The 27103-nt window shown below is 37.9% G+C and overlaps 1 protein-coding gene across 10 annotated transcripts in view, besides 2 other annotated features; it reads left to right on the forward strand.

Moving 5' to 3' along the window:
• Positions 1–27103, forward strand: part of TTC3 (tetratricopeptide repeat domain 3) — a 129865-nt gene that overhangs the window by 68947 nt on the left and 33815 nt on the right. For 6 of the 10 annotated variants that reach the window (NM_001353936.2, NM_001330683.2, NM_001330682.2 and 3 more), the window contains 14 exons: positions 2325–2445; positions 5281–5403; positions 6346–6447; positions 7878–7970; positions 8620–8684; positions 9693–9829; positions 10751–11077; positions 14455–14706; positions 17499–17545; positions 18602–18658; positions 19790–19863; positions 21851–22015; positions 23350–24415; positions 25355–25420. In NM_001353936.2, coding sequence (NP_001340865.1) covers positions 2325–2445; positions 5281–5403; positions 6346–6447; positions 7878–7970; positions 8620–8684; positions 9693–9829; positions 10751–11077; positions 14455–14706; positions 17499–17545; positions 18602–18658; positions 19790–19863; positions 21851–22015; positions 23350–24415; positions 25355–25420 — 2695 coding nt within the window. Of the gene's footprint in view, positions 1–2324; positions 2446–5280; positions 5404–6345; positions 6448–7877; positions 7971–8619; positions 8685–9692; positions 9830–10750; positions 11078–14454; positions 14707–14960; positions 15015–17498; positions 17546–18601; positions 18659–19789; positions 19864–21850; positions 22016–23349; positions 24416–25354; positions 25421–27103 lie in introns of all 10 variants that reach the window. The other 4 variants (NM_001320703.2, NM_001320704.2, NM_001353938.2 and 1 more) reach the window with 2 other exon arrangements.
• Positions 5138–5638: an enhancer, noted in NCBI's record as "H3K4me1 hESC enhancer chr21:38519638-38520138 (GRCh37/hg19 assembly coordinates)". NCBI's record gives its function as "activates a minimal SCP1, AML or CMV promoter by ChIP-STARR-seq in primed H9 embryonic stem cells {active_cell/tissue: H9 hESC(primed)}" and the evidence as "EXISTENCE:reporter gene assay evidence [ECO:0000049][PMID:30033119]".
• Positions 17205–17444: an enhancer, noted in NCBI's record as "active region_18443". NCBI's record gives its function as "activates an Ori minimal core promoter by ATAC-STARR-seq in GM12878 lymphoblastoid cells {active_cell/tissue: GM12878}" and the evidence as "EXISTENCE:reporter gene assay evidence [ECO:0000049][PMID:35858748]".

Genomic DNA, 27103 nt, shown 5'->3' on the forward strand with positions numbered 1-27103 from the left:
TGCCCTCTCTCACCACTCCTATTCAACATAGTGTCGGAAGTTCTGGCCAGGGCAATCAGGCAGGGGAAAGAAAGAAAGGGTATTCAATTAGGAAAAGAGGAAGTCAAATTGTCCCTGTTTGCAGATGACATGATTGTATATCTAGAAAACCCCATCGTCTCAGCCCAAAATCTTCTTAAGCTGATAAGCAACTTCAGCAAAGTCCCAGGATACAAAATCAATGTGCAAAAATCACAAGCATTCTTATACACCAGTAACAGACAAACAGAGAGCCAAATCATGAGTGAACTCCCATTCACAGTTGCTTCAAAGAGAATACCTAGGAATCCAACTTACAAGGGATGTGAAGGACCTCTTCAGGGAGAACTACAAACCACTGCTCAATGAAATAAAAGAGGATACAAACAAATGGAAGAACATTCCATGCTCATGGATAGGAAGAATCAATATCGTGAAAATGGCCATATTGCCAAGGTAATTTATAGATTCAATGCCATCCCCATCAAGCTACCAATGACTTTCTTCACAGAATTGGAAAAAACTACTTTAAAGTTCATATGGAACCAAAAAAGAGCCCGCATTGCCAAGTCAATCCTAAGCCAAAAGAATAAAGCTGGAGGCATCACGCTACCTGACTTCAAACTATACTACAAGGCTGCAGTAACCAAAACAGCATGTTACTGGTACCAAAACAGAGATATAGACCAATGGAACAGAACAGAGCCCTCAGAAATAATACCACACATCTACAACTATCTGATCTTTGACAAACCTGACAAAAACAAGAAATAGGCAAAGGATTCACTATTCAACAAATGGTGCTGGGAAAACTGGCTAGCCATATGTAGAAAGCTGAAACTGGATCTCTTCCTTGCACCTTGTACAAAAATTAATTCAAGATGGATTAAAGACTTCAATGTTTGACCTAAAACCATAAAAACCCTAGAAGAAAACCTAGGCATTACCATTCAGGACATAGGCATGGGTAAGGACTTCATGTCTAAAACACCAAAAGCAATGGCAACAAAAGCCAAAATTGACAAATGGGATCTAATTAAACTAAAGAGCTTCTGCACAGCAAAAGAAACTACCATCAGAGTGAACAGGCAACCTACAGAATGGGAGAAAATTTTTGCAATCTACTCATCTGACGAAGGGCTAATATCCAGAATCTACAAAGAACTCAAACAAATTTACAAGAAAAAAACAACCCCATCAAAAAGTGGGCAAAGGATATGAACAGACACTTCTCAAAAGAAGACATTTATGCAGCCAACAGACACATGAAAAAATGCTCATCATCACTGGCCATCAGAGAAATGCAAATCAAAACCACAATGAGATACCGTCTCACACCAGTTAGAATGGCGATCATTAAAAAGTCAAGAAACAACAGGTGCTGGAGAGGATGTGGAGAAATAGGAACACTTTTACACTGTTGGTGGGACTGTAAACTAGTTCAACCATTGTGGAAGTCAGTGTGGCGATTCCTCAGGGATCTCGAACTAGAAATACCATTTGACCCAGCCATCCCATTACTCGGTATATACCCAAAGGATTATAAATCATGCTGCTATAAAGACACATGCACACATATGTTTATTGCGGCACTATTCACAATAGCAAAGACTTGGAACCAACCCAAATGTCCCTCAGTGATAGACTGGATTAAGAAAATGTGGCACATATACACCATGGAATACTAAGCAGCCATAAAAAAGGATGAGTTCATGTCCTTTGTAGGGACATGGATGAAGCTGGAAACCATCATTCTCAGCAAACTGTTGCAGGGACAAAAAACCAAACACCGCATGTTCTCACTCGTAGGTGGGAATTGAACAATGAGAACACATGGACACAGGAAGGGGAACATCACACACTGGGGCCTGTTGTGAGGTGGGGGGAGGGGAGAGGGATAGCATTAGGAGATATACCTAAGGTAAAGGACCAGTTAATGGGTGCAGCACAGCAACATGGCACATGTATACCTATGTAACAAACCTGCACGTTGTGCACATGTACCCTAGAACTTAAAGTATAATAAAAAAAATATATATATATAAACAACAAACAACAAAAAAGTGTACACCTGCCACAATAAAGCCAGTGTCCAAGACGAGTTGTGTTTAATGTATATTACTTTTATAGCAAACAGCAATAGTGACTTTGTTTTTTTAAAGAAAATTTAGGTTACATTGAATATTGCTGTTCAGTGATTCATCAAATGTATTCGTCCCAGTAAGCTTGAGATCTTTGGTGACTTTTGAAGGGAGTGAAAATACCATTTTACATCTTTAATGCCTTTTTCATAATTATGACTTTAGATTTCTAGAAGCTCTCAATCACTTTGAGAAAGCAAGAACCTTGATTTATCGTCTTCCTGGAGTGTTAACTTGGCCCACGAGTAATGTGATTATTGAAGAGTCTCAGCCACAAAAAATAAAGGTAACCATTTATTTTTGCAGAGTGTTTCTTACTGTGAATGCTTATCTGCATTGACTGACTCAGGTATCAGGAGGCGGAGAGGTAGGAGCATTCCATCCCCACCTCCCTTACACGCATTTCCCCTCTACTGTCTAATGAGAATCTCTGACATTTATTGAATGTTTTCTGTGTGCCAGTGTGTACCTTCATTTATCATTATGCTTAATCCTTATAGCAGCCCCGTGCAGGGGGGCACTGTGATCATTCCCATTTTACAGATGAGGAAGGTTAAGTTTAGAGAGGTGAAATGATGCACTCAAGGTGAAACAGCAAGCAAATTGTGGTCCTGGAACTTGAGTCCAGGCATTCTGACTTCTGAGTATGCATGATCATGCACTCTGCTGGACTTGGTTGTACTTAGAGGAAGGTATAGTATTGTTGTTTCATCATAAAGTTACCACAGTTACTGAGATGGTACTTGAAGATTTAGAAAAATATGAATTTAGTCTCATATCCAGAAGCATAAAGATGCTTTGCTTGTTCTAGAAAGACTTACGTGTGAAATGACTGAGATAGGCTTTTACTTGTAGTGAACTCTCACATGTACTCAGAACTTGATTTTGGCTGAAGCTTTTAAAATCACAGAAGTCAACTTTTACAACTCAATAATAAAAAGACAAATAATCTAAGAAGTAGTCAAAGGATCTGAATAGACATTTCTGCAACGAAGATATACAAATGGCCAAAATTAGCACATGAAAAGACATTCAGCATCATTAGCTATCAGAGAAACACAAATCAAAACCACAGTGAGATACCACTTCACACTCATTAGGATGTGGGCAGACAATAAATATTGGCAAGGGTGTAGAAAAATGGGAACATTCAGACACTGCTGGTGGTAATGTATAATGATGCAGCTGCTTTGGAAAATAGTCTGGCAGTTCCTCAAACAGTTAAACATAGAGTTACCATGTCTCAGTCCATTTGTGTTGCTATAAAGAAGTACCTGAGACTGGTGATTTATGAAGAAAAGTTGGCTTATGGTTTTGCAGGCTGTATAAGAAGCATGGTGTCAGCACCTGCTGGTGAAGGCCTTCAATAGCTCCTACTCATGTCAGAAGGCGTAGGAGAGCCTGTCTGTAGAGATCATATAGTGAGAGACAGGGAAGTGCCAGGCTCTTTTTAACAACCAACTCTTTAGGGAACTAATGGAGTGAGAACTCACTCACCCCAGGGAGGGAATTAATCTGTTCATGAGAGATTCGTCGCCATGACTCAAAACACCTCCCACTGTGCCTCACCTCCAACACCGGGGATCAGATTTCAATGTGTGGTTTGGAGGGTCAAACATTCAAACTGTAGCATACCATATGATCCAGCAGTTTCACTCCTAGGTGTGTACAGAGAAAGGAAAACATGTTCTCACAAAAACTTGTACATGAATGTTCATAGCAGCATTAGTCATAATAGCCCAAAATGGGAAATAGCCCAAGTATTCGTGAGCTGATAAATGGGTACGTAAGTATTGGAACCTGGGAGGTTGAGGCTGCAGTGAGCCTTGATTGTGCCACTGCAGTGCAGCCTGGGCAACAGAGTGAGAGTCTGCCTCAAAAACAAATGGCCAGTCTTGGTGGCTTACGCCTGTAATCCTACCACTTTGGGAGGCCAAGGCAGGAGGATTGCTTGAGCTCAGGAGTTCAAGACCAGCCTGGGCAACATGGCGAAACCCATCAATACAAAAATTAGCCAAACATAGTGGCACATGCCTGTAGTCCCAGCTACTCAGGAGGCTGAGGTGGAAGGGTCAGTTGAGCCCAGGAGGCAGAGGTTGCAGTGAGCTGAGATCGTGCCACTGCACTCCAGCCTGAGTGACAGAGTGAGACGCTGTCTCAAAAAAAAAAAAGAGTACTGATAACATGCTGCAGCATGGATGGACCTTGGAAACATTATGCTAAGTAAAAGAAGCCAAACACAAAGGGCTTGTGTGAGTCCATTCCTATGAAATCTCCAGAATAAGCAAGTCTGTATATAGTGACAGAAAGTAGACCAGTGATTGCTGGGCCTGGAAGGTTAGGGGAAAATGAGGAGGGACTGCTAATGCGTATGGAGTTTCTTTTTGAAAATGTTCTAAATTTAGACCGTGGTGATGTCAGCACATCCTGTGAATATGCTAAGAACACCGAACCGTACACTTCATTTGAGTTGTATAGTGTGTAAATTATGTCTCAACAAAGCTATTATAAAAAATACAACACAGGGATTCTTGGATTTACCTCTCTTCATACAAGATTGGGATAGAGGCATAGGAGCTATTGATAACAAAAAGCCAGCACTGGAAGCATGGCATGAGTCTCTTGGGGGCTTCATTAGCAGTGGAATAATTCTCCAGGGAGTCCACAAACAACAGTGGCAGAGCTGCAAGGAGGAAGATAATGGGAGTGTTAGGATTCTGGATGAGGTGATGTTGGGCAAGAGGAGCCTGGTAAAGTCCTCAGGATTACCCTAAGGGTTATTCTGCCTTACTTGACTTCCTCTTAATGCTTATGGAAGATTTCTGAGAGCTGTAAATTATAAAATGCGATTTGATGATTGTAACAGGACAAAATTTTGATTCTTTCGAAATTCTGAAAAAAAATTTTGTCCAGTCCTCTTTTTAAATCTCTCTTATGTCTCTTATCAGCCTTCCTTTTAAAAGGAAAAACTTTAAAAGTTGTATGTAGTTTGTTGTTGGTGAAAAAATTTAGTCATTCTTATGCTGAAAATATTTTGATGGCAAGAGGTTATTGAAATCACAAGCATTTTTATTGACAGATTAGTATTGTAATGGTATCATTTTTGTTTATTTTGTTTTAGATGCTGTTAGAGAAATTTGTTGAAGAATGCAAGTTCCCTCCAGTGCCAGATGCCATTTGTTGCTATCAGAAGTGCCATGGATATTCTAAGATCCAGATATACATAACTGATCCAGACTTTAAGGTAAATAATGAGTGTACAGTGGGACATTAACTTGCAAAATCATTTCTTAAAATGGGCTCAAAACAATCTGTAATTGGAGGCACCCAAGTTCTCTGGCTAGTTAGCAGTCGTCCACCCCTTTCCCAGGATTTTTTTTTTTTTTTTGAGATAAGTCTCACTCTGTCACCCAGGCTGGAGTGCAGTGGCACGATCTTGGCTCACTGCAACCTCCGCCTCCTGGGTTCAAGCAATTCTCCTGCCTCAGCCTCCCAAGTAGCTGGGATTACAGGCGTGTCCCAGCACGCCCAGCTAATTTTTGCATTTTTAGTAGAGACAGGGTTTCACCATATTGGCCAGGATGGTCTCGATCTCTTGACTTCGTGATCCACCCCCTCAGCCTCCCAAAGTGTGGGATTACAGGTATGAACCACCACGCCCAGCCTTCCTGGACTTTTTTAGGTCTACATCGTCTCACATGGGAACCAGAGCCACTGATGTATAAACGCTCTGGGCTGGGGTAGTGACCTGAGAAGGCAGGCTGGCTCATTCTTTTTCCTCTTCAAGCTACCTTAGGAGGATAGGAAACAAAGTGAGATTGTTACCTCTGATTTGTTGCAATTCTGATCTCTCATAAAATTTGAGTCCCAAATCTAAAGGTCATTGTGATCATTGAATTAGCTGTTAGAGACCTAAATTTGAGATAAGTCTGGCACTTAATTGAGTTATACTGGTTTATTCAAGAAGCTAGTAGCTGCCCTTGTCCTGCTGTTCCAATGTCCCTGGTTAGTAAATCAGATGAAATAATGTTTATAAAATATTTGATATATTTTGAAGAATGATGCAACTTTATGCTGTGGAAATAAATATGTTAGTCAAGCTCTCTCTGTCTTTATGTATGTTGTAGTGAGTGAGTGTGCAGAGACATCTTTAAAACGTTAATTAAAAAATTTTTTGTAACCCTAGGGTTTTATACGCATCAGCTGTTGCCAGTACTGTAAAATAGAATTTCACATGAATTGCTGGAAGAAGTTAAAAACTACAACCTTTAATGATAAAATTGACAAGGTAAAGCATAACAGGATTGTCTGAATTTTTCAGTATACTTATTGTATGTCAATTTTTCCCCCAAGAATTCCTTCCTGAACATTCTGCACATAATTAGAAAATTTTAAATTATAACTTTAATAATAAAGTGGAAAATCAAATTTGTTTTTATTTGGACAATCATAAAGGCATTAACCATAGAGGCTTTGTTTTTTTAAAGAGACGGATCTCACTGTGTTGCCCAGGCTAGAGTGCAGTGGTGCAGTCGTAGCTCACTGCAGCCTCAGACTCCTTGACCCAAGTGATCCTACTTCAGCCTCCCAAAGTGCTGGGATTATAGGCATGAGCCACTGCACCAGGCCCCACTTGAAAGTTTTGATGTGGAATTAGGGATTTCAAAACCAAAATTTGATGAGGTAATTTGTACTAAGAAGTCAACTCAAAACAATTTTTTTAATGTTGGGAAGAAAGATCAACTTCAATTTTAAACTGCCATTTCTCTCCAGGGATTTTCTTATTACCAAGATAATGATGTTAATTACCATTAAGTAGACATACTTTGAGGGAAGTCATAGTATTACAATCTTATTTGTATTCATAGAATTTGTTTCTGATCTATAGAAACTATGGACCTTTTCCTACACTTCTTAGGCTTATGCAGACCACTGTTCTTATTGGGGAAAGAATGAGGCAGTTGTACTAGGCATCTGTTAACAATAGCAATTATTAAAGTATGGTAGAAATAAATTCTCACATTTTGTACATTTTCACATAATTAATTAACAATATAATGATATGAGTAAATAACTGTCACCTTTGAGTCACTTCTGCTATGTCTTTGTCTTACCTAAATTGAGTTTCTCTAGTGATATACCCTCTTTTAGTGGTCTTAACTATTCCCATCATTTTAAATACACTCTGTAAATTAGTCAGCTTTCCCTAGGATATGCTGAAGTGATGCAACCCAAATATCTTGTGGCATACATCAGAGAAGTTTGTTTTTTGCTTACATGACTTGTCCTGCAGTTCTGCAGTTGTTGGCTGGGACTGGGCTGTAGCAGCTTTATTTTGTGTGGCTCTATTCCTTGTTTCTCAATCTAAGTTGAAGAATGACCCTTTTCTGGAACATCTTCCTGTGTCAGAGGAAAAAGAACAATGTCCAGTCTATGAAGTGTTTGTTAAACCTTTTGTCTAGACATGTGTATGTCATGTCTGGTCACTTTGCATTGATGAAAACAAGTCACATGGTCAGACCCACACCTGAAAGTATATTTTTCCTACACGGAAGCCTTAAAATTCGCATGGCAGTGAGTAAGGATTTTCACCACTTGCCTGAAGATGGTTTTAGTCCGTATTTTGACTGTTCCTAGTGGTAAAAATAGTATACGTGTATAGATTTATCCCCCCTAGACATAACATTTTTCTTGTTTTTTTTTTTTTTAATCAAATAGGATTTTCTACAAGGAATATGTCTTACCCCTGACTGTGAAGGTGTCATTTCTAAGATTATCATCTTCAGCAGTGGTGGTGAAGTTAAATGTGAAGTAAGTAATAAAGGGGAAACCTTGTTAGATAGATAACCAAAATGTTTACACCTTTTGAAACATGATTTGAATTTGTAGATATCATGTAATTTGGATCTTTTCCAGGAAAGAAACAATTACTTCATTTAAGAAAATATAGGAAATACTGGGATGTGAGAATGCTTCATTGTAATGAAAGCATTCTTATATTCTTTTATTTCTTAATAGGAAAAGGAGGCTTTTTATATCTTAGTTTTACTATTTTTACTGTTTTTGATAACTTCATTTTCTTAATCCCGGTAAACTTTTGGGCAGTAGTGGGTGTGCAGGTTTTTAGGGAGGGGGAAGAGCGTCTTGAGGGATTACCTTTAACTTCATGACATGGGAATGGCAAGAGTGGGTAGTTGTAATAATATTTACACTTTATTAGATCGTCTGCTTACTCTTAATTTTTTAAAAACTTTTTCCTCAAGTGTGTCTACCCTCTTGTTCCTCTTCAGTAAATTATTTTGCTAAAGCTTTCTGGGCTTTTGTCTGGGTCAGAACATCATCACTGTTCTCTATCAAACTGAACATTATGTGTGCTTCTGAAATACTTGTTACTTGTGGTTTTGTGTTTTATGTCATGGGAGTATGAGACAAATTTTGGATGTCTTTGTTTTATTTAAAGTTTGAACACAAGGTCATAAAAGAAAAGGTTCCTCCAAGACCTATTCTGAAACAGAAATGTTCTAGGTAAGATTTTTAACAATCAATCAGTGGTTTGATGATGTCTCTTAGAATATAATTCTATTAAATGCAGATTTCTAAATTATGCCTTTTTAAAAATTGGCTGTGTATACATATATTCAAATAAGTGTTTTTTAAAATGATTTTTATGGAAAATTAAAACTTAAAGAGAACTAGCCTAGAATGATTAAATACTAAAAACTTGATTCAGAATTATTTATCTAGTGGTTGAATTTACAATTAAAATTATAACATTTGATGCTGTGAAATTACATGTTTGATTAATAGATTTGGCATTTATATAAAAACTATACAGTTTGCTCTCAGTTGTTGAAACTTTAATTCCAAAAGCATATTTTTCTTTTTATCTCTCTTCAGTAAACATTTTGAACCTATGACTATTTTTTACCCTGAAATACTCAATGTACTGTCTAAATTATTACTTCTCTATAGCTTTTTGTTTAGATCAAATAATTCAGATTCTTTTTTCTTTTCTTTTTGGTCCTGCTTCTTGTTTTTCTTTCTAAGAAGTGATTTTTTTTTATCATTTGTGACCAAGAAAAAGCAAAAGAAAAGATGAACAGAATTATTTGTTGGAGAGAATTCATTGTAACCAGATCAACCAAATTATAGTGTTGTGGGTTATTATTGAGATGTGAAAATTATATTTTACTATGGGACCTTTCTTAGAAATGAGAGTTTACATGAATTATTTTGCAGAGTAATTTGTACTATTTCTGTTTACCCTATGAAGTAACTTAGATACATGAAAGTGACATCTATACAATCTGTAGACTGCATCCTTAGACATCACCTAATCATTGAGGTTTTTGTTTTCATGAAACAAGTACCCTTATTTTGACAATACTGACAGTTTCTTACATTGAATGGAAGATGTAGGCCGGGCTCTGATTAAAAAAGGAAAACTTCTAATATATTGCTTGGAAGATGGTTTCTACGATAGTCAAAGGAAAACAGTTCATTGAGTTGTCACTAATTGTAAATGTTTATCAGCCTAGAGAAACTAAGACTGAAAGAAGACAAAAAATTGAAGAGAAAGATCCAAAAAAAAGAAGCAAAAAAGTTAGCACAAGAAAGAATGGAGGAGGACTTAAGAGAAAGTAATCCACCCAAAAATGAAGAGCAGAAAGGTATGCAGAAGCCAAAGGCATGATAAGAATAATATACTCTCATTTAAATGTATAAATGTAAGCATCTTTTGGGCCTTATATTCATCATTATTGAATTGAAATAAAGATTTCACTTAGTAATTTAATACTATCACTGTCTTCTGTTACTCGAAGACAGAATTGGGTTGGTGTAAAGAACACTGAAAAACCTTTCAGAGATTGTATTCCCACTGAAAAACCTTTCAGAGATTGTATTTTAACTTTCTGTGCTTAATGACTAAACATATTTATTGTATATAAAGTTAAGGTAGTTGATGAGGCTGGGTTAGGATTGTTGAAGGAAGTGGCCGTATTTTAGGGGAACTAAGTTGTTTTTTTTTTTTGTTTTTTTTTTTTGAGACGGAGTCTCACTCTGTTGCCCAGGCTGGAGTGCAGTGGCGCGATCTCGGCTCACTGCAAGCTCCGCCTCCCGGGTTCACGCCATTCTCCTGCCTCAGCCTCCCCAGTAGCTGGAACTACAGGTGCCCGCCACCATGCCCAGCTAATTTTTTGTATTTTTAGTAGAGATGGGGTTTCACCGTGTTAGCCAGGATGGTCTCGATCTCCTGATCCACCCTCCTCGGCCTCCCAAAGTGCTGGGATTACAGGCATGAGCCACCACGCCTGGCCTAGAGGAACTAAGTTTCAAATGCTACTACATGAATGGTTCAGAATGAAGGGTGTAAAATGCTTACTTTTGGTATGTTTATTTTAGCGTACACTTTCATGTCTTTTCAAAAGTATTGTTAAGTGTTTATATTTCTAATTAAAGTTTCTTGAGTTTAGTAAAACAGTATAATCAATCTGAATCATATTTTATATTATGTAATTTTGTTATTTCTAAGTTTATGTAATTGTGAATTAGTCCTATTTATCACTTTAACCATTGTTATTTATCCTTAGAAACTGTAGACAATGTTCAGCGTTGTCAGTTCCTTGATGACAGAATTCTACAGTGTATAAAGCAGTATGCTGACAAGATTAAATCCGGCATACAGAATACAGCCATGCTTCTCAAAGAATTGCTTTCTTGGAAAGTTTTGAGCACAGAAGACTATACAACCTGTTTTTCTAGCAGAAATTTTCTAAATGAAGCAGTGGACTATGTTATTCGCCACTTGATTCAAGAAAATAACAGAGTAAAGACAAGAATATTTCTGCATGTTTTGAGTGAGCTTAAAGAAGTGGAGCCCAAATTAGCCGCCTGGATCCAAAAACTTAATAGCTTTGGTATGTCCCTTTATATTCCAGAGCAATAAACTTTAATACGAAGGGGAAGTGTAGGTCTCTGAGTCATTTTCATTTTCCTGCCATATAATTTATAACTTTAAATGCAGGACTATAAATTTGTATGGTTAAGAATACTTTTCCAGTCCCAGCTACTTGGGAGGCGGAGGCAGGATGATTGCTTAATCTCAGGAATTTGAGACCAACCTGGCAATGTTGCAAGACCTGTCTCTAAAAGAATTTTTTAAAAAAAGAACTAAATATATGAAGGCCTTTAAAAAACAGAAAAACTATTACACACACACGCACACCACAATTTTTAGGTTATTTTATAGATAGGTTACAGTATACTTCTTCAAAAGGTGCAATCTAAGGAAAGACCAGTCAGTAAAGAAATCCAGACCTATATTAGACTAAACTATTTGTAAATGTGTAGATGTGTGAATACTAGGCACAACCATGGTAAATAACACATCCTGGAGTCTGCCCCCTGCTCAGGAGCTGTGTTGAGAAGACAAATCTATAATTCAGATTCTTTGAAGAAAAATTTAGAGGCAAGAGTGGATGAGACTAATTGCTCAGGGTCACCTAAGGCAAATCTGTATCTAGAGATTAAGAGGAACATATCCTAGGGTTGGACTGAGCTGTGGTAAATCACAGGATTATATAACTCTGTACTGTGTTCTGACTTTCGTAACTTGGCTGGGAGAAGGGAAGAGTGAGCAAGCCCCCTGCCCTCCCCTAAAGCAGGCGCTTTGCCTAAAGCCATGCAGGACTGCAGAAGGCAGCTGCAGATACAGTTGTTGTGTAACACGAGGTAGGGATGCTTTGGGCACCTACCAGGGCACTATTTATCTTGCTGACTGGATAGCAACTGGCCTAGCACAATAGTTCATTCAGTCGGCAGCTATTAGATAAGAGGCTAAAGTACGCCACGGGAAAAAGGCAGGGCCTTTAGCCGCAGACCACAGAGTGAGGCCTGCTAAGCCTCTGCCAGCCGTCCCCACCTGTCTGAATGTTTAGAAACGTGGGGCTATTAGAATTCTAGGGTTTCAGAGAAGATACTGGTCAGCTTCTGCCAGAAGAGACGATGTAAGATGGCAGCAAGCCTGGCATAGTTAGACAGCTGAACATGCCTGCTTTGAACATAGATCCTCATGGATTTGTGATCCCGGAAAGTTATTTTTAAGTGACAAGATTGTCACTAGTGAGTATCAAGTAAGCAAATTATAAAGTTAATGCTTGCTTTAACATGCTTTAGGAGATACTCAGGACTGGAGAAATAGGTTTGCCTGGGTTATGCTACACGGTCAAGACTGCCAGCCACTGTTCATTCAGGTAAATGCAGCACTTGAGCCCTCCAGCTCACTGGCAGGAAAGGGTGAACATGTCTTTTGATATAAACCATGTGTTTTTTTTGTTTGTTTGTTTGTTTTTTTGAGACAGAGTGTCGCTCTGTTGCCCAGGCTGGAGTGCAGCGGCGCGATCTCGGCTCACTGCAAGCTCCGCCTCCCGGGTTCACGCCATTCTCCTGCCTCAGCCTCCCGAGCAGCTGGTACTACAGGTGCCTGCCACCACGCCTGGCTAATGTTTTGTATTTTTAGTAGAGACGGGGTTTCACCGTGTTAGCCAGGATGGTCTTGATCTCCTGACCTCGTGATCTGCCCACCTCGGCCTCCTAAAGTGCTGGGATTACAGGCGTCAGCCACCGCGCCCGGTCGATATAATCCATGTTTATTCTGTAGATTAAAGGTATCATTTTAATAAGGATATATGTATACTATTTAAAGTAGCAATTTTTATTTAAAGTTGTGAAATGAGTTCAAGCATGTTAATTAGTAAGGCTGTTACTACAGTCCTGAAGTAAAATGCACACTTACTTAAATAGTAAGTAAAGCAGTTTTCATTTCCTGGAATTTTCTTCAATAAAACGACTATTGGGTGGACTTACATCATGCACATATTTACCATAAGAGAGGTCCAGTTTTTATGTTCAGCAAAAGATGAAGGGAGGAAAGGAGGAAAGGAGGGAGGGAGAGAGAGAAATAATAGAGCACTAGTGAGATAAATTTAACATCCCAATAGTGAACACTGCCTGCCTGCATTCCCCTCACTGACCACAAGCTCTGACGTGGATAGGGAACGGGAATGTGCTATTTTTTCATTGGGCTCTCATAAATCTTTTATTGTGTGAGTATTCTACATGGTCCCTTATTCTGGTGTTTAAAGATCCTAATTTTCCTGCAACATGATCTCTGCAAGCTAACTCTTTAATCCAGAAGCAAGCAGTCTAGGATAATTTTGACTCTGAGCAATCTCTGCTTCATTTGTTGACTTCATTTGTTGACTAAGGCCCTCGGAAGAAGTGACCGTTTTATATTAGAGGCATGATGGAGAAACTGGACAGAGCTCCTTTTTGCTGGCTGTTCATCAGGAGTGGGGCTTCACCGTCATTTCAGTAGGAGTCTGTATGAGATTGTAGTCACCTGTTTTCTAATTTGGAGAGTGGAGAATAAAAGTAGGCATACTGACCACCTTGATTTTTGTAGAGAGGGGTGAGGACCCACATTTTGGGGAATAAGGAATGTTATTTTAGGTGTTGGGGAATGGGTTTACCCATTTCCTCTTTTAGACACATTTGGGAAGATTCTGCATATTGTTGATGTTTTATTACTATGGAATCCATATAAAGAATCATAAAATCTTGCTAGTTTATACTAATTGGAATGAAAGTCTTTATGAATTAGTGAAAACATTGTTTGGGTTTGTTTTTTTTTTTAGAGATAGGGTCTTGCCCCATCACCCAGGCTGGAGTGCAGTGGCGCCGTCATAGCTCACTGTAGCTTTGAAGTCCTGGGCTCAAGCAGTACCCCCACCTCAGCCTCCCAAGTAGCTGGGACTACAGGCATTTACCACCATGCCTGGCTAACTCTTTTTTTTTTTGTAAAGATAGGGGTCTTGCTATGTTGCCAGGGCTGGTATTGAACTCCTGGCTCAAGTGATCTTCCAGCCTTGTCCTCCCAAAGTGCTGGGGTTACGGGCCTAAGCCACCATACCTGGCCTCATTGTTATATTTTTAAAGGAATTTAATGCTATACTTTCATCTCCTAGGTCTAATAAAGGTAACTATGATAGTAGAAGGCTTTGGCCCACATTATTCAAATCTAATAGACAAGAATTATTATAATTAGCCTAACAATGTTAAATGGTGTTTCTAAAATGCCCAATAGCTTGAACGAATCTGTTCTCAACTATTTAAATGTTTTTGCTGAGAATATAAGCAAACTATAATCAGCTGCTTTCAGAGATGTGAAACTAAATGTGATTTTACAGTAAATAATTTCCCTCCTCTTCTGATTTGGGTTTTGTTTTTATTACAGGCTTAGATGCCACAGGAACTTTCTTTTCTCGTTATGGAGCATCTCTTAAACTGCTTGATTTTAGTATCATGACTTTCCTCTGGAATGAGAAATATGGTCACAAACTAGACTCTATAGAAGGAAAGCAACTTGATTATTTCTCTGAGCCAGCATCATTGAAGGAAGCCCGTTGTTTAATATGGCTGCTAGAAGAACACAGAGACAAGTTCCCAGCATTGCATAGTGCTTTAGATGAATTCTTTGATATAATGGGTATGTGGACTGAGTTTAGACTTATATTACATTTAATCTTAAGGGGGAAAAAATCTGTGAAGGACCTAGCTTGTTTAAATATATAACAAAGAAAATAGTGAAAATTATTATGGTACAATCAGTTTATGTGGGGAAGTTAGTGATTAACAGTAGCAATTTTTTTATATCATGAAGCTTTTTTACTTTATCAGTTAAAGAGATACTCAAATGTAGGTATGTTATGCTAACAATACACAATGTTCTTCCCGTCTTAGATATTTTCACAGCATCATGGGAAAGATTGCATGTTACACTGACAGAATCTATTAGTAAGTGGTTTGATTTATAGCATTTTAGAAAACATTGGTCTGCAGAAGTAGGTGATGTTTGCAGAATCTAGAATGGATAGCATTCTAGGATGTTTTAATGGGAAGAGCCTAGAACTGGGGGTCAGGAAAAGTAGGTTGTGGCACAGCTTCTTCCTTAGTTTGGTTCATTAAAAACCCTGTGGGCCCAGTGATGGGTGTTGAGAAGGAATTCAGAAATGCTTACACTTGTCTCTGCCCTTGAGGACCTTGTGTTCTAGAAAAGAGAATAAGAAGCATGCACTAATAACAGTAACATGGTAGTAAACTCAATACGGGAGGGCCAGAGAAGGTGCCAAGGGCATCAAAGGAAGGACCCAACACTTTCTTTCTCCCTGGGAGAGAGGAAAGCTGTGGTGCAGGGGTAGAGTCTCAGATGGGCTGTGAACGTGAAAGTGGAATTAGAAAGCTGGGTGTCAGGGCTTATTTGGAATTGGGGACCCTATTTGGGTAATGGCATGGAGTCCAGCTTGAACTAACTAGCTAGCTAGCAGCTAATTCCTTCTTTTCTCTTAGATCTTAATTTCCTCACATTAAAATGAGATGATTTGGAGGCAGTGACATGTGTGGTCCTGTTTTACTTAAAAATTATAATATTCCTAGATTCTAAATGATAATTTCTTACCTTTCATACTATATGAACATATTATGATAATCCCCAAGTCCCTCAGAATCAGAAGTCTCCTTTATGTGTTGTTAGGAGTTAGACTTTTAAATGTCATGCTGTTTGTTTTAAAGGGTACATTAAAAGGTCTGGCCTTGTACGATGGTGTCACAGATGATAAAGTTCCAATGCATATAAGGAGTGGAAAGCTTACTTTTGACAACAAAAGTTCTTAGAAAAGAGCACACTCAAATACAGATGGCTTTATCTTTTCAGGATACTGCTTCATGACTGAAGGTGACATGCTACTTGATAGCCTGAATTTATTGCCATCAGTTTGCTGCTGCTGGTAATAAAATGCTGTCCCGGGACTGAGCTTACAAAACCTGATGCATGTTTGGATCACAAAACAAGACAACTAAAAAGGACACAATTCCCTCTCAGCATACACTCGTCCTTTAACTTGTGTTCTCTACATATAATACACAGCACTTCCAGCTGCCACTGTTTCTCTGTTTCTAGTCATGAGGTCAGAAGCCACTAACCAAATTATTGGCAATCCCAATGGATTCTCAAGTGCAGTAGCTCTGCCTTCCACCTTCACCCCAAACATTTTCAGTTTTATCTCTTCATTTAAAAGAATAGTTATATTTCTTAAAACTTTTCAAAATCTACTGATCTTGTAGATCAGAGTGTTTGACAATGTCATGAGTGCTTTGATAATTGAGAGCCCCGACTTTTTCCCTGACCTCTTCATGCATGATCCCCTAGGGTATTTCTGTGAGACAGCCAAATAGCCCCTTAAAGCAGTATGACTGAACCCACCTATCACATCTTCAGAGATCTGTTTTTCCTCAATTTATCTCAGTCAATAATATTGTATATCTAGTATTTAAACAGGAAACTCTGTAATTAGTCTCAATTCTTTCTTTTCAGTATTAAGAGTATAACTTGTTTGTCATCAATCCAAATGAGCTTTGTCCTTGATCTGTCCTTTGCTGTCCACCCCACTTCCCGAGGCCAAGACCTTAGTTGTCTTTCCACAGTTAGACCACTATAGTAGCCTCCAAACTGGACTCCATGCCTCTAGAATCTCCCATTTTCCGTCTTCCTCTTATATTGCAGCTAGTGACTCTTCTAGAACATCTGTCTAACATTCTGTTAACTATTCAATTTGGGAAACATTTGTTTAGTTTTAATTGCAGATTAAGTTCACATCATCTGGGGTCTGGGTTCATCATCATCCTCTATCTCTGAGCACACACCCCACTACTGACTGTGCCCAAACCTGCCTTGTGCTTTCCTGCCTCCTGTCTTCACTCACGTAGTTCCCCCAGCCATGCCCCACCCCTTTGCTTGTTCATTTCAAGAGTAACTTAAATGTCCCCTCTACCTCAGAGCTTCTTTGCCCCTCCTGTGGGCCTCTCCCTTGCAGACTTCAGACTTGAGTCCTTCGTGAGCCTTTGTTGCCTTGTGTTTCACGTGGTCCTTAGCACGCTGGGTTACAGGAGTTTGTCTGTTTGTCTTTCTGGCAGTAGAACAGGAGTTCATCAATGGTAGGGACTGTCTTGTGCATCTCTATTCCCAGGACTAGCATAGATGGTACCTAGAAGGCACTCAACATTATGCTGAATCAGATTGAAGTTTTATGGTTCTTTGTAGTTGGTTTCCCGTTTAGTCAGCCATTTTGCCCTTGGTTTCTAAACTACACTTGTGTCAAAGCCAAATAAGGAATAGAACATGGCCTATGCCAGTAGTATGAGGAGTTATTTTAAGGCTTTAGTGTACTATATGGAAATGTAAATATTTAGTTTTCTCACAAAACCATCTGTATATTCCTACAGACAGCCGCTGTACTGTGTTAAGGAAACAAGATAGTGGTGAAGCACCGGTAAGTTACTTGGATCACTTGAATCTTACGTTCTAATCTGATGTTAAACCAAGGATGAGAAGGGGACCCAGGCCAGTGTTTATTGACATCACAGCCAGCATTCAAGAACCACATTAAAAGGACGTCTGGGTAGTACGTACTATTATTCATTAGAAAGTCACTGCCAGTTTTCCTCTCGGAATTGGAGCAATAATCAGCAAACTATGAGGCTTAAATTAGACAATTTCTATAAAGTTTCAGAGCTGATAAACATTAATATTCTAATTAAGAAAGGAAGAGTTCTTCATCTCCTGGCATAAAAATGAAAAGTTGTCTTTAATAACTAAACTTCTAATGTTCTGCTCTAGAAGGAAAACAAAGGGACTTTGTTTTGAGTGGCTCTAAATTACGTTTAAGTTAAAACAGTTCCAGAGTTGTCTTCCTTAGTAGTTTGCAGTTGCCTTTTATTCATTCTTCAGAAATTCTTCAGTTTAGGAAAGTGAGTAAATAGAGAAAAGCACAACATTGTGGCAGTTTTCAAAGAGAAAAATGCCTGTTTACTGATTTTCAGGAGCAAATCATCTATCTATATGAAATTTTGTCTTAATCTGCTCCATCAAATATTGCCCAGCTAAGCAGGGAAACACAGCTGAAATACTCCATAAGGAGCTGAAGGCTTCTTTATTCACTGTTTGTGCCCCAGTGTCTGGTCAGGTGCAGAATGTCTAGTTTGGCTTAGTAAAAGAAATATATTAATAATAAATTTACTATTATGGCATCTAACTGGAATTACTTAAAAGTCTGATTAATTACTTGAAATAACAGTCCAACCCTGTGGAAAATAAGATAAAAATGTTGGAACAACTTAATTTTAGTATACATTAGTATTATTAAATTTTGTTTGTTTTCTATTATAAATCGTAGCACTTGGGCTGATACACTGTAGTGTTATTTTTGTTAAACATTTTATGTACATTTAACTTATGGCTAGTCTGTAAAAACTCATATGGTTTCTTTATGTTGAGCTTCATAATGCTGTTATTTGAGTGTTCACTGATTTTTCCCCCCATTTTTTAGTTTAGTTCAACCAAGGTGAAAAACAAAAGCAAGAAAAAGAAGCCAAAGGATTCAAAGGTATGGAGTATTTTCTGTATTAATTCTTGTCTAAACTCTCCAAAATAGTTAGTTGGACATATACATTAGAATTGAGCAATTCTTGGGATATTTTGAAACATTTGTAGAGAAAGACTTTCTAGGACTTAAAGATGTTTTGGCAGTCTTCTACATTTTGAAGAAATTCCAGGTTCATATTATATAATAGCAAGTCTTGACACTCGTATTCTTTATTGTCTTTTTTATTTTTCTAGGTATTTCTGAGTAAAAAAAAAAAATTGTCATAATGTCCCAAAAAATAAATAAGTCTCAAAAAATAGATAACATATTTAAACTAAAAATGATGAATACTAATCATTATGACAGTCCCAGGATTGATAGAATCCCTTCCTTCCTCTCACCAAAGGCTCTCCTCCAAGCCCATTAGATAAGTAGGGCATTTTTATTTTTATTTTTGAGACAGGGTCTCCTTCTCTCACCCAGGCTGGAGAGCAGTGGTACAGTGACGGCTCACTGCAGCCTCAAACTCCCAGGCTCAAGTGATCTTCCCACCTCAGCCTCCCGAGTAGCCGGAATGACAGGCGCATGCCACCATGCCCAGCTAATTTTTTGTATTTTTTGGAGAGATGGGGTTTTGCTATATTGCCCAGGCTGTTCTAGAACTCCTGCGTTCAAGCGATCTGCCTACTTTGGCCTTACAGGCGTGAGCCACTGTGCCAGAAGTAGGGCACAATTTTTAAGTCTTTGGTGGGTTCTTCATGGCTCTTGTGTGTATGTGGGGAGCAGAAAGGGGGATGGAGTGAGAGAGAGTAGCAAATCTTCAAAGGATGAGAACAGTTAAGGAGTTCCAATACAACTTTTATTTTTATCTTTGACTATGTATTTAGTTTAGATAAAATGGGAGTTTAAACTGAGTAACATTTAAATTTTTTTGGAGCATTGGAAACTATCCTAAATGTTAATTTGAGCTTATTTTTGGCTGTTGAAACTTTTATTACTATGTGTTCCTGTTTATAAGAAAATTTGGATAGATCTTATATATCAGCAATTTGTATGTGTGTTTATATAAGTATTCATCAATTTTAATGATTTTTCTCTTTAATGGAATTTTAAGGTAGAAAATCATTGTCATTTTTCTGTCTTTTAAACCAGCCTATGTTAGTTGGGTCTGGAACAACTTCAGTAACTTCAAATAATGAGATCATCACTTCAAGTGAAGACCATAGGTAAGTATAATTTTTAAATTTTTGCTTCATTTTAACTCAAATGTCTTTACTTAATAAGTTGTGTTAATTTAATATATATAAACTTGTGTTTTATTTCCCTAACTTTCCTTTCTAAAGCTGTGCATCTGACAACCTGATGTAATTCCATCTTGATTACATTTATATAGTGTGGCTAGAAGGCATTAAGAATTCATTCAAACTGTGTTAAAGTCACGACACTGGTGACATTCATTCACTAAGTACATATTGAGAACCTACCATGTGCAAGGCTCTGTGGGAAAATCATAGAAAAATGTCTAGAAATTATTCTTTAAAATAGTCAATAAAGAGAATGTCCTGTTAATACTTACTAGGCATTTTTGCCTGTAAGAGAGGAAGCTGTTTTGGGAGCTGTATATGATGTTATGTTTTCACCTTATATATTAGTGATTTTCAATGCCATCTGGTTGTCAAAACTGAGTTTTCAATAAACAAATATTTAAGAAATAAAACTAGTGAGTAGCAGTAACCTTTTTATATCATACTCCTTTATGAACCAAAAATGTACAACATGGTTTTTTTTTTCTCATTTCTTAAAGGAGCTATCAGAGCAGTTAAAAATTACGTGGTCATTTCATGGATTCTTTAAGTAGGGTAATTGTTTTAAGTTAAAATAATAGCCTGTCTTAGTCAGTTTGGGCTGCTATAACAATATACCATAAACTGGGAGGCTTACACACAGAAATTTATTTCTCACAGTTCTGGAGGCTGGGAAGTCCCAAGATCAAGGTACTGGCAGATTCAGTGTTTGGTGAGGGCCTGCTTTCTGGTTCATAGATGGTGCCTTTTTGCTGTGTTTTCTCATGGTGGAAGGGACAAGGCAACTCTCTGGGGCCTCTTTTATAAGGGCAATAAGTCCATTCATGGGGGTAGAGCCTAATTACCTCCCAAAGAATCCACATCCTAACACCATCACATTGGTGATTAGGTTTCAACATATGAGTTTTGCAGAAACACAAACATTCAGACCATAGCATAGCCTTTACTGAGATTAATTCTTATGTATCAGACATTGTTTTGGGGGTTTACATACATAAACTCTTTCAATCCACTTATCCTGCCTAGGAGGTAAGTGCTATTATATTCTGTCCAATGTACAGATAAGGAAACTCTGAGGCACAGTGCAGAGCGACTTGCCCAAGAACACAAAGCTTATAAATAGCAGAGCTGGGATTTAAGTCATGCAGCCTGGTTTTAGAGTCCACACTCAAACTACTACATCTTTTTAGAGTGCTAACATCTTACATTTAAAAAAAACTTTTGTTTAGATGGAGTTTCGCTCTTGTTGCCCAGGCTGGAGCGCAATGGCGTGATCTCAGCTCACTGCAACCTCCACTTCTTGGGTTCAAGCAATTCTCCTGCCTCAGCCTCCTGAGTAGCTGGGATTACAGCCATGCGCCATGACGCCTGGCTAATTTTGTATTTTTATTAGGGACGGGGTTTTTCCATGTTGATCAGGCTGATCTCGAACTCCTGACCTCAAGTGATCTGCCTGCCTTGGCCTCCCAAAGTGCTGGGATTACAGGCGTGAGCCACCACACCTGGCTTAAAAAAAACCTTTTATTAATACCATTTACCAGTCTCAGTCTCACTTTAAGTTAATTTATAGCAGTTATAATACAATCTTCATTTGTCTTTCAGTCATTTAACAAGTTATAATTAATGCAACTTTTTTTAAAAATATGGAGTTTTAAGAATTTTGCTCTTTGGAGCAAGACTAAATAATTGAAAGTGCTTACTTAGATTGTCAGATATGATATTTCTCGCCTATAACTGTGGAAGGGTAACTTTTCTACACTAAGTTCCCTGGTGCTATTTTTTTGCAACATAGAGCTGAGTAATATATTGCCATTATTGTGTTTATTTCAATTAGACATTCTTCTGGTTAAATAATAAACCAAAGGTCTATCATCCACAAAATTGGGTGTTTTTTGTTGTTATTTACCAGCAATCGAAATTCAGATTCTGCAGGCCCATTTGCAGTGCCTGACCATCTTCGGCAAGATGTAGAAGAATTCGAAGCTCTCTATGACCAACACAGTAACGAATATGTTGTCCGCAATAAGAAGCTATGGGACATGAACCCAAAACAAAAATGTTCAACTCTATATGAGTAAGTGGGTTGAAATTTTTACAACCATTATTTTATACTAAGGCTGCCAATTAAAGATCAGAAGTTGTTTAATTTGTGCCTGTTTTTAGAGATTTTGCCACATTTTACACAAAGTTAATTTAGGATTTTTTTTTTTTTTTTGAGACAGAGTCTTGCTGTGTCACACAGGCTGGAGTGCAGTGGTGCAATCTCTGCTCACTACAACCTCTGCCTCCCAGGTTCAGGTGATTGTCATGCGTCAGCCTCCCGAGTAGCTGGGATTACAGGCTTGCACCACCATGCCTGGCTAATTTTTGTATTTTTAGTAGAGAAGGGTTTCACCATGTTGGCCAGGCAGGTCTCCAACTCCTGGCCTCAAGTGATCTGCCTGCCTCAGCCTTCCAAAATGGTGAGATTACAGGCATGAGCCACCTCGCCCCGCCCTGAGGATTTTTAATTATTAAATTTAGAGTCCTAATGATTATTGATTTTGTCAGTTTGAGCTACTAAGTCGATACTGAGTGGGGTGGATAAAACAAGTAAAAAATTCAGGAAAATCTCAGATAGCTTACCATTTTGAGCTTTGTGTTATTAGATAGTGCATGAGGCCTTCCTTTTAAGAAAATAAATCAAGGGCTGAGGTCTGTAATAGAGTATTAATTTAAAAGCCAACTCTTCTCCTGGAAGTCCTGTCAGTAGCATATCCACCATATGGCCCTTTCTTCTGTTTTCCTGTATTGCATCATTCCTATTTAGTTCTGTGCTCTTAGATCCTTCTTCATGGTTTTTCTTTAGAGTTGAAATGCTGAGCAAATCATATTTCCAGAGAACTCTTGGGTGACAGTGTGGAAACAACTGTAAAATTATACTATTATTTCTTAAAGTATGCTAGAATTTGCTTCAGGCATCCAAAAGTAAAGCTAAAGTATGTAGTTTTCAGTATTTACTGTACGCAAATTCAAATAGGATTTGTTTTTGAGATTTGATTTTCTCTTTTTATTTAAAATTCTTATTGGCATTATTATCTTTCCTGAATAAATTTTTTGTTGTTGTTTTTAGAATAAATTATGTAATTACATAGTTGAAAGTTATGAAATAACTTTTTGATTTCCTTTTGCTTTCCCCTGCTCCCAGAAAAGTTTTAAATGATCATTTTCTAGGAGGTAGACAAAATTTTCTTTATAGTATCATTGATTGCAGTTAACCTTATGTTTGTTATATTTGTTGTTGAGGAAAGGTTGAGATCAGTGAAAAGTGAAACAGTGTTTTCCTTTGGGAGAATAAAAGTTTTTTTCAAATAGACATATTCAAGTACTTCCTTATAGTAACTCATGTAAATGTAAATTTTTTCCAAGTTACTTCTCTCAGTTTTTGGAGGAACATGGTCCCTTGGACATGAGTAACAAGATGTTCTCTGCAGAATATGAGTTTTTCCCAGAAGAAACTCGACAGATACTAGAAAAAGCAGGAGGTTTAAAACCTTTTCTCTTGGGATGCCCTCGTTTTGTTGTGATTGACAACTGTATTGCACTGAAGAAGGTTGCATCACGGCTCAAGAAAAAAAGGAAGAAGAAAAACATTAAAACAAAAGTAGAAGAAATTTCAAAAGCAGGGGAGTATGTACGAGTTAAACTACAACTGAATCCAGCTGCTAGGGAATTTAAACCAGATGTAAAGTCTAAACCAGTGTCAGATTCATCTTCAGCACCAGCTTTTGAAAATGTGAAACCCAAACCTGTGTCTGCAAATTCTCCCAAGCCAGCTTGTGAAGATGTGAAGGCCAAACCAGTATCCGACAATTCTTCTAGACAAGTTTCTGAGGATGGGCAACCCAAAGGGGTCTCTTCTAATTCTCCTAAACCAGGCTCTGAGGATGCAAATTACAAGCGAGTCTCCTGTAATTCCCCCAAACCGGTTCTTGAGGATGTGAAACCAACTTATTGGGCTCAATCCCATTTGGTCACAGGATACTGTACGTATCTTCCTTTCCAGAGATTTGATATCACCCAGACACCGCCAGCATACATAAACGTGTTACCAGGTTTGCCCCAGTACACCAGCATATATACACCCTTGGCCAGCCTTTCTCCTGAATATCAGCTACCAAGATCAGTACCAGTGGTGCCGTCTTTTGTAGCCAATGACAGAGCAGATAAAAATGCTGCTGCCTATTTTGAGGGTCATCATTTGAATGCTGAGAATGTTGCTGGTCACCAGATTGCCTCTGAAACACAGATCCTTGAGGGCTCTTTGGGAATATCTGTAAAGTCACACTGCAGCACAGGTGATGCTCATACAGTCCTGAGTGAGTCTAACAGAAATGATGAGCACTGTGGAAATTCTAACAACAAATGTGAAGTAATTCCAGAAAGCACCAGTGCAGTAACAAACATTCCACACGTGCAGATGGTTGCCATACAGGTAAGAGTTAAATAGAAAAGTCTTCTTAATACTGAAGTTAAATTTTCCTTTTCATTTTTCATTGCCGTTATATTTGCAAGAATCCTTAAAGTTGATTGACTTTATAATGATTACTGAAGCTTTTGCCTGAAAATACTTTTAAAATATGAACTCTTTTGTGAGGCATGACAGGTAATCTTCTCAGAAAGAAGCTTGGGTCCAATAAACAATACCCATCTTTGCTACTGAAATTCTACACAGATTGAGAAATAAGACAGCAGGTGGAGCCAAAACGTCATCCTAAGAATTAATAAAGGTGCTGGAGGAGAAGGTGGCTGTTTGTAGGAAAGTTCAAGTGCTAGCTGGAAGTGTAGCCTGCATCACAGTGCCTTACCTGCCAGTTACAGGAGGGCCCACCTGGAGGCCTTCCAGCGTGGGGTGCCTGCCCCATAGGACTTAGCGCATGAAGGAGGAAGGGAAAATGTGCTGGCAGCTCCTCAGAAAGAGAAGGAAAAAGGAAGACTCTGACCTACACAGGCCCAGCTTCTCCTGTCAAACCAGGGGAGGAATGAGAATGTTAAAAAGAGACAGCCAGGTAGAAACAAGAGGGATGTGTATGAGTTCTTTCCTAACAAGGAAGAGATGAAATCAAGATTCTCCTATGGTTGCCTTTATAGGGTATGAATTCATTAAATCCTTATTGAATTGCCCCACTCATTATGTTTTCTAGGAAGCTTTGAAAAAAATAGGTTAAGAGCAATGGATCATAATCATTTCCAGATATGCTAATTCTAAATAACTTTCCTAATATACATGTTTACGGAAAGCATGGAACATGATCTAAATGGGAAAAAAAACTTGAAAAAATTGTGGGTGTGTTTTAAAGTGTTACTACTTGATGGGCTTATTTTACTAGAGCGATTGAGATAAAGTGAATTTTATTTTTTGTTTTGCCCACAGGTATCTTGGAACATAATACACCAAGAAGTCAATACTGAGCCATATAATCCTTTTGAGGAACGACAAGTGAGTCAAAATTACATTAAACTGTTTAAAGGTTTAGTTTTCATTAATTTATCTAGATGGAATGATGAACTAGAACTATTTTGGAGTCAGCTTATTCCACACAAAGTTATCATGGAATAAGCTTGAGAACATAACAAAAAAATGATTTTGTTTTTATTGTTGAAATTTGAGAAGGGAAGGAAAAGGTAATTTTTTTCCAGCATACTTATTTCAAATTATAACAGCGTTATTGTTTTATTTTATTATTTTTAAAATTTTATTTATTTTTATTTTAATTATTTTTGAGACACGGTCTCACTGTCATCCAGGCTGGCCAGCTTTATTGTTTTAACTGGTATAATGAGCATATAATAATTTATAAGTAAGCTTATTCATGCGAATAATACAGAAAGATAAAGACCTTCTCTACTATAATAATGATTCAATTAGAAAACCTACTAATATAATTTAGTTCGTTAATATGCATCATAAGAGAAAAGTTGTCTTATCAACTCAAAGTTGCTGTAAAGGTATTGGATAAAATTCAGGTCACTGTCTTGACCAAAACTAGTAAGAAAATGGGAATTGATGAATATTTCTCAACATGCTAATATTTTAAGCCAAAAGCCATCATCTTGCTTAATGGTAAAACATCACCATTAATATTTATTGTTATCCTGGGTATATTAACTGAGAAAGCAGATATGAGAAAGAAAGAAGATAGAAAAGAGGAGATGTGAGTATCATTATTTACAGAGGCTAGGGCTGTGTACCAGGAAAATCCAAAATGATCAACTGAAAACCTACACTAACCTATATAAACCTATACTTGTATATAAAAATATATATAAACAATTACCTGTTAGAAAGTATGTTGAAAGAAAATATTTTCAATACCAAAAAAGAGATAAAATACTTAAATGTATATAAAGAAAAATTTTTAAATGCTATGGAGAGACACATAGAAGCCTTAAATGAAAAGATATTTCATGTACTTGGATAAGAACACATATTATGATAATGAGATTGGTTCTCCCTAAAGCTTTTTAAAATTTAACACAATCCCAGTATATACATGAACAGGGCAAATTAGTTATGTATATTGCTGTATATATAACAAACAACCTCAAAAGCTAGTGGCTTAAAACAGTAAAATATTTCACAATTGTGAAATCTCACAATTTCGCTAAGTCAGGCATTCAGGAGCAGTTTAGTTGGATGCTTCTGGAGATTCTCATGTAGCTAGCCAAGATGTTGACCAGGGCTTGGTCATCTGCGGGAGTAACTGGGCCCAGAGGTTCTACTTCCAAGATAGCTCACTCACATGGCTGGCAAGCGGATGTTGGCAGTTGTCAGGAAGCTTCAGTTCCTTGCCTTGTGGACCTCCACCTAGCCCTGCTTGACCTCATGGGGCTGGCTTTTCCCAGAGTGTGTGATACCAGGCAGAAGCGGCAGTGCTTTAGGAAGTCACAAATTATCACTTCTGCGCATTCTCTTGGTCACATAGATCAATCCACCAACCCTGATACATGGTAGGAGAGGTCTATACAAGGCTGTGACTAACAAGAGGCCTGGTTACTGCACAGGATTAATTTGAAACTAGACAAATTGATTTTAAACTTCATATGTAAAAATGAACATCAAGAATGGGTATGGAAGAGAAACTAAGAAAAGGAGTTGTGCAACTAAATATCAAAACACAAT

This window comes from Homo sapiens, chromosome 21 (assembly GCF_000001405.40).
Source record: "Homo sapiens chromosome 21, GRCh38.p14 Primary Assembly".
In the NCBI taxonomy this organism is placed as follows: domain Eukaryota; kingdom Metazoa; phylum Chordata; class Mammalia; order Primates; family Hominidae; genus Homo; species Homo sapiens.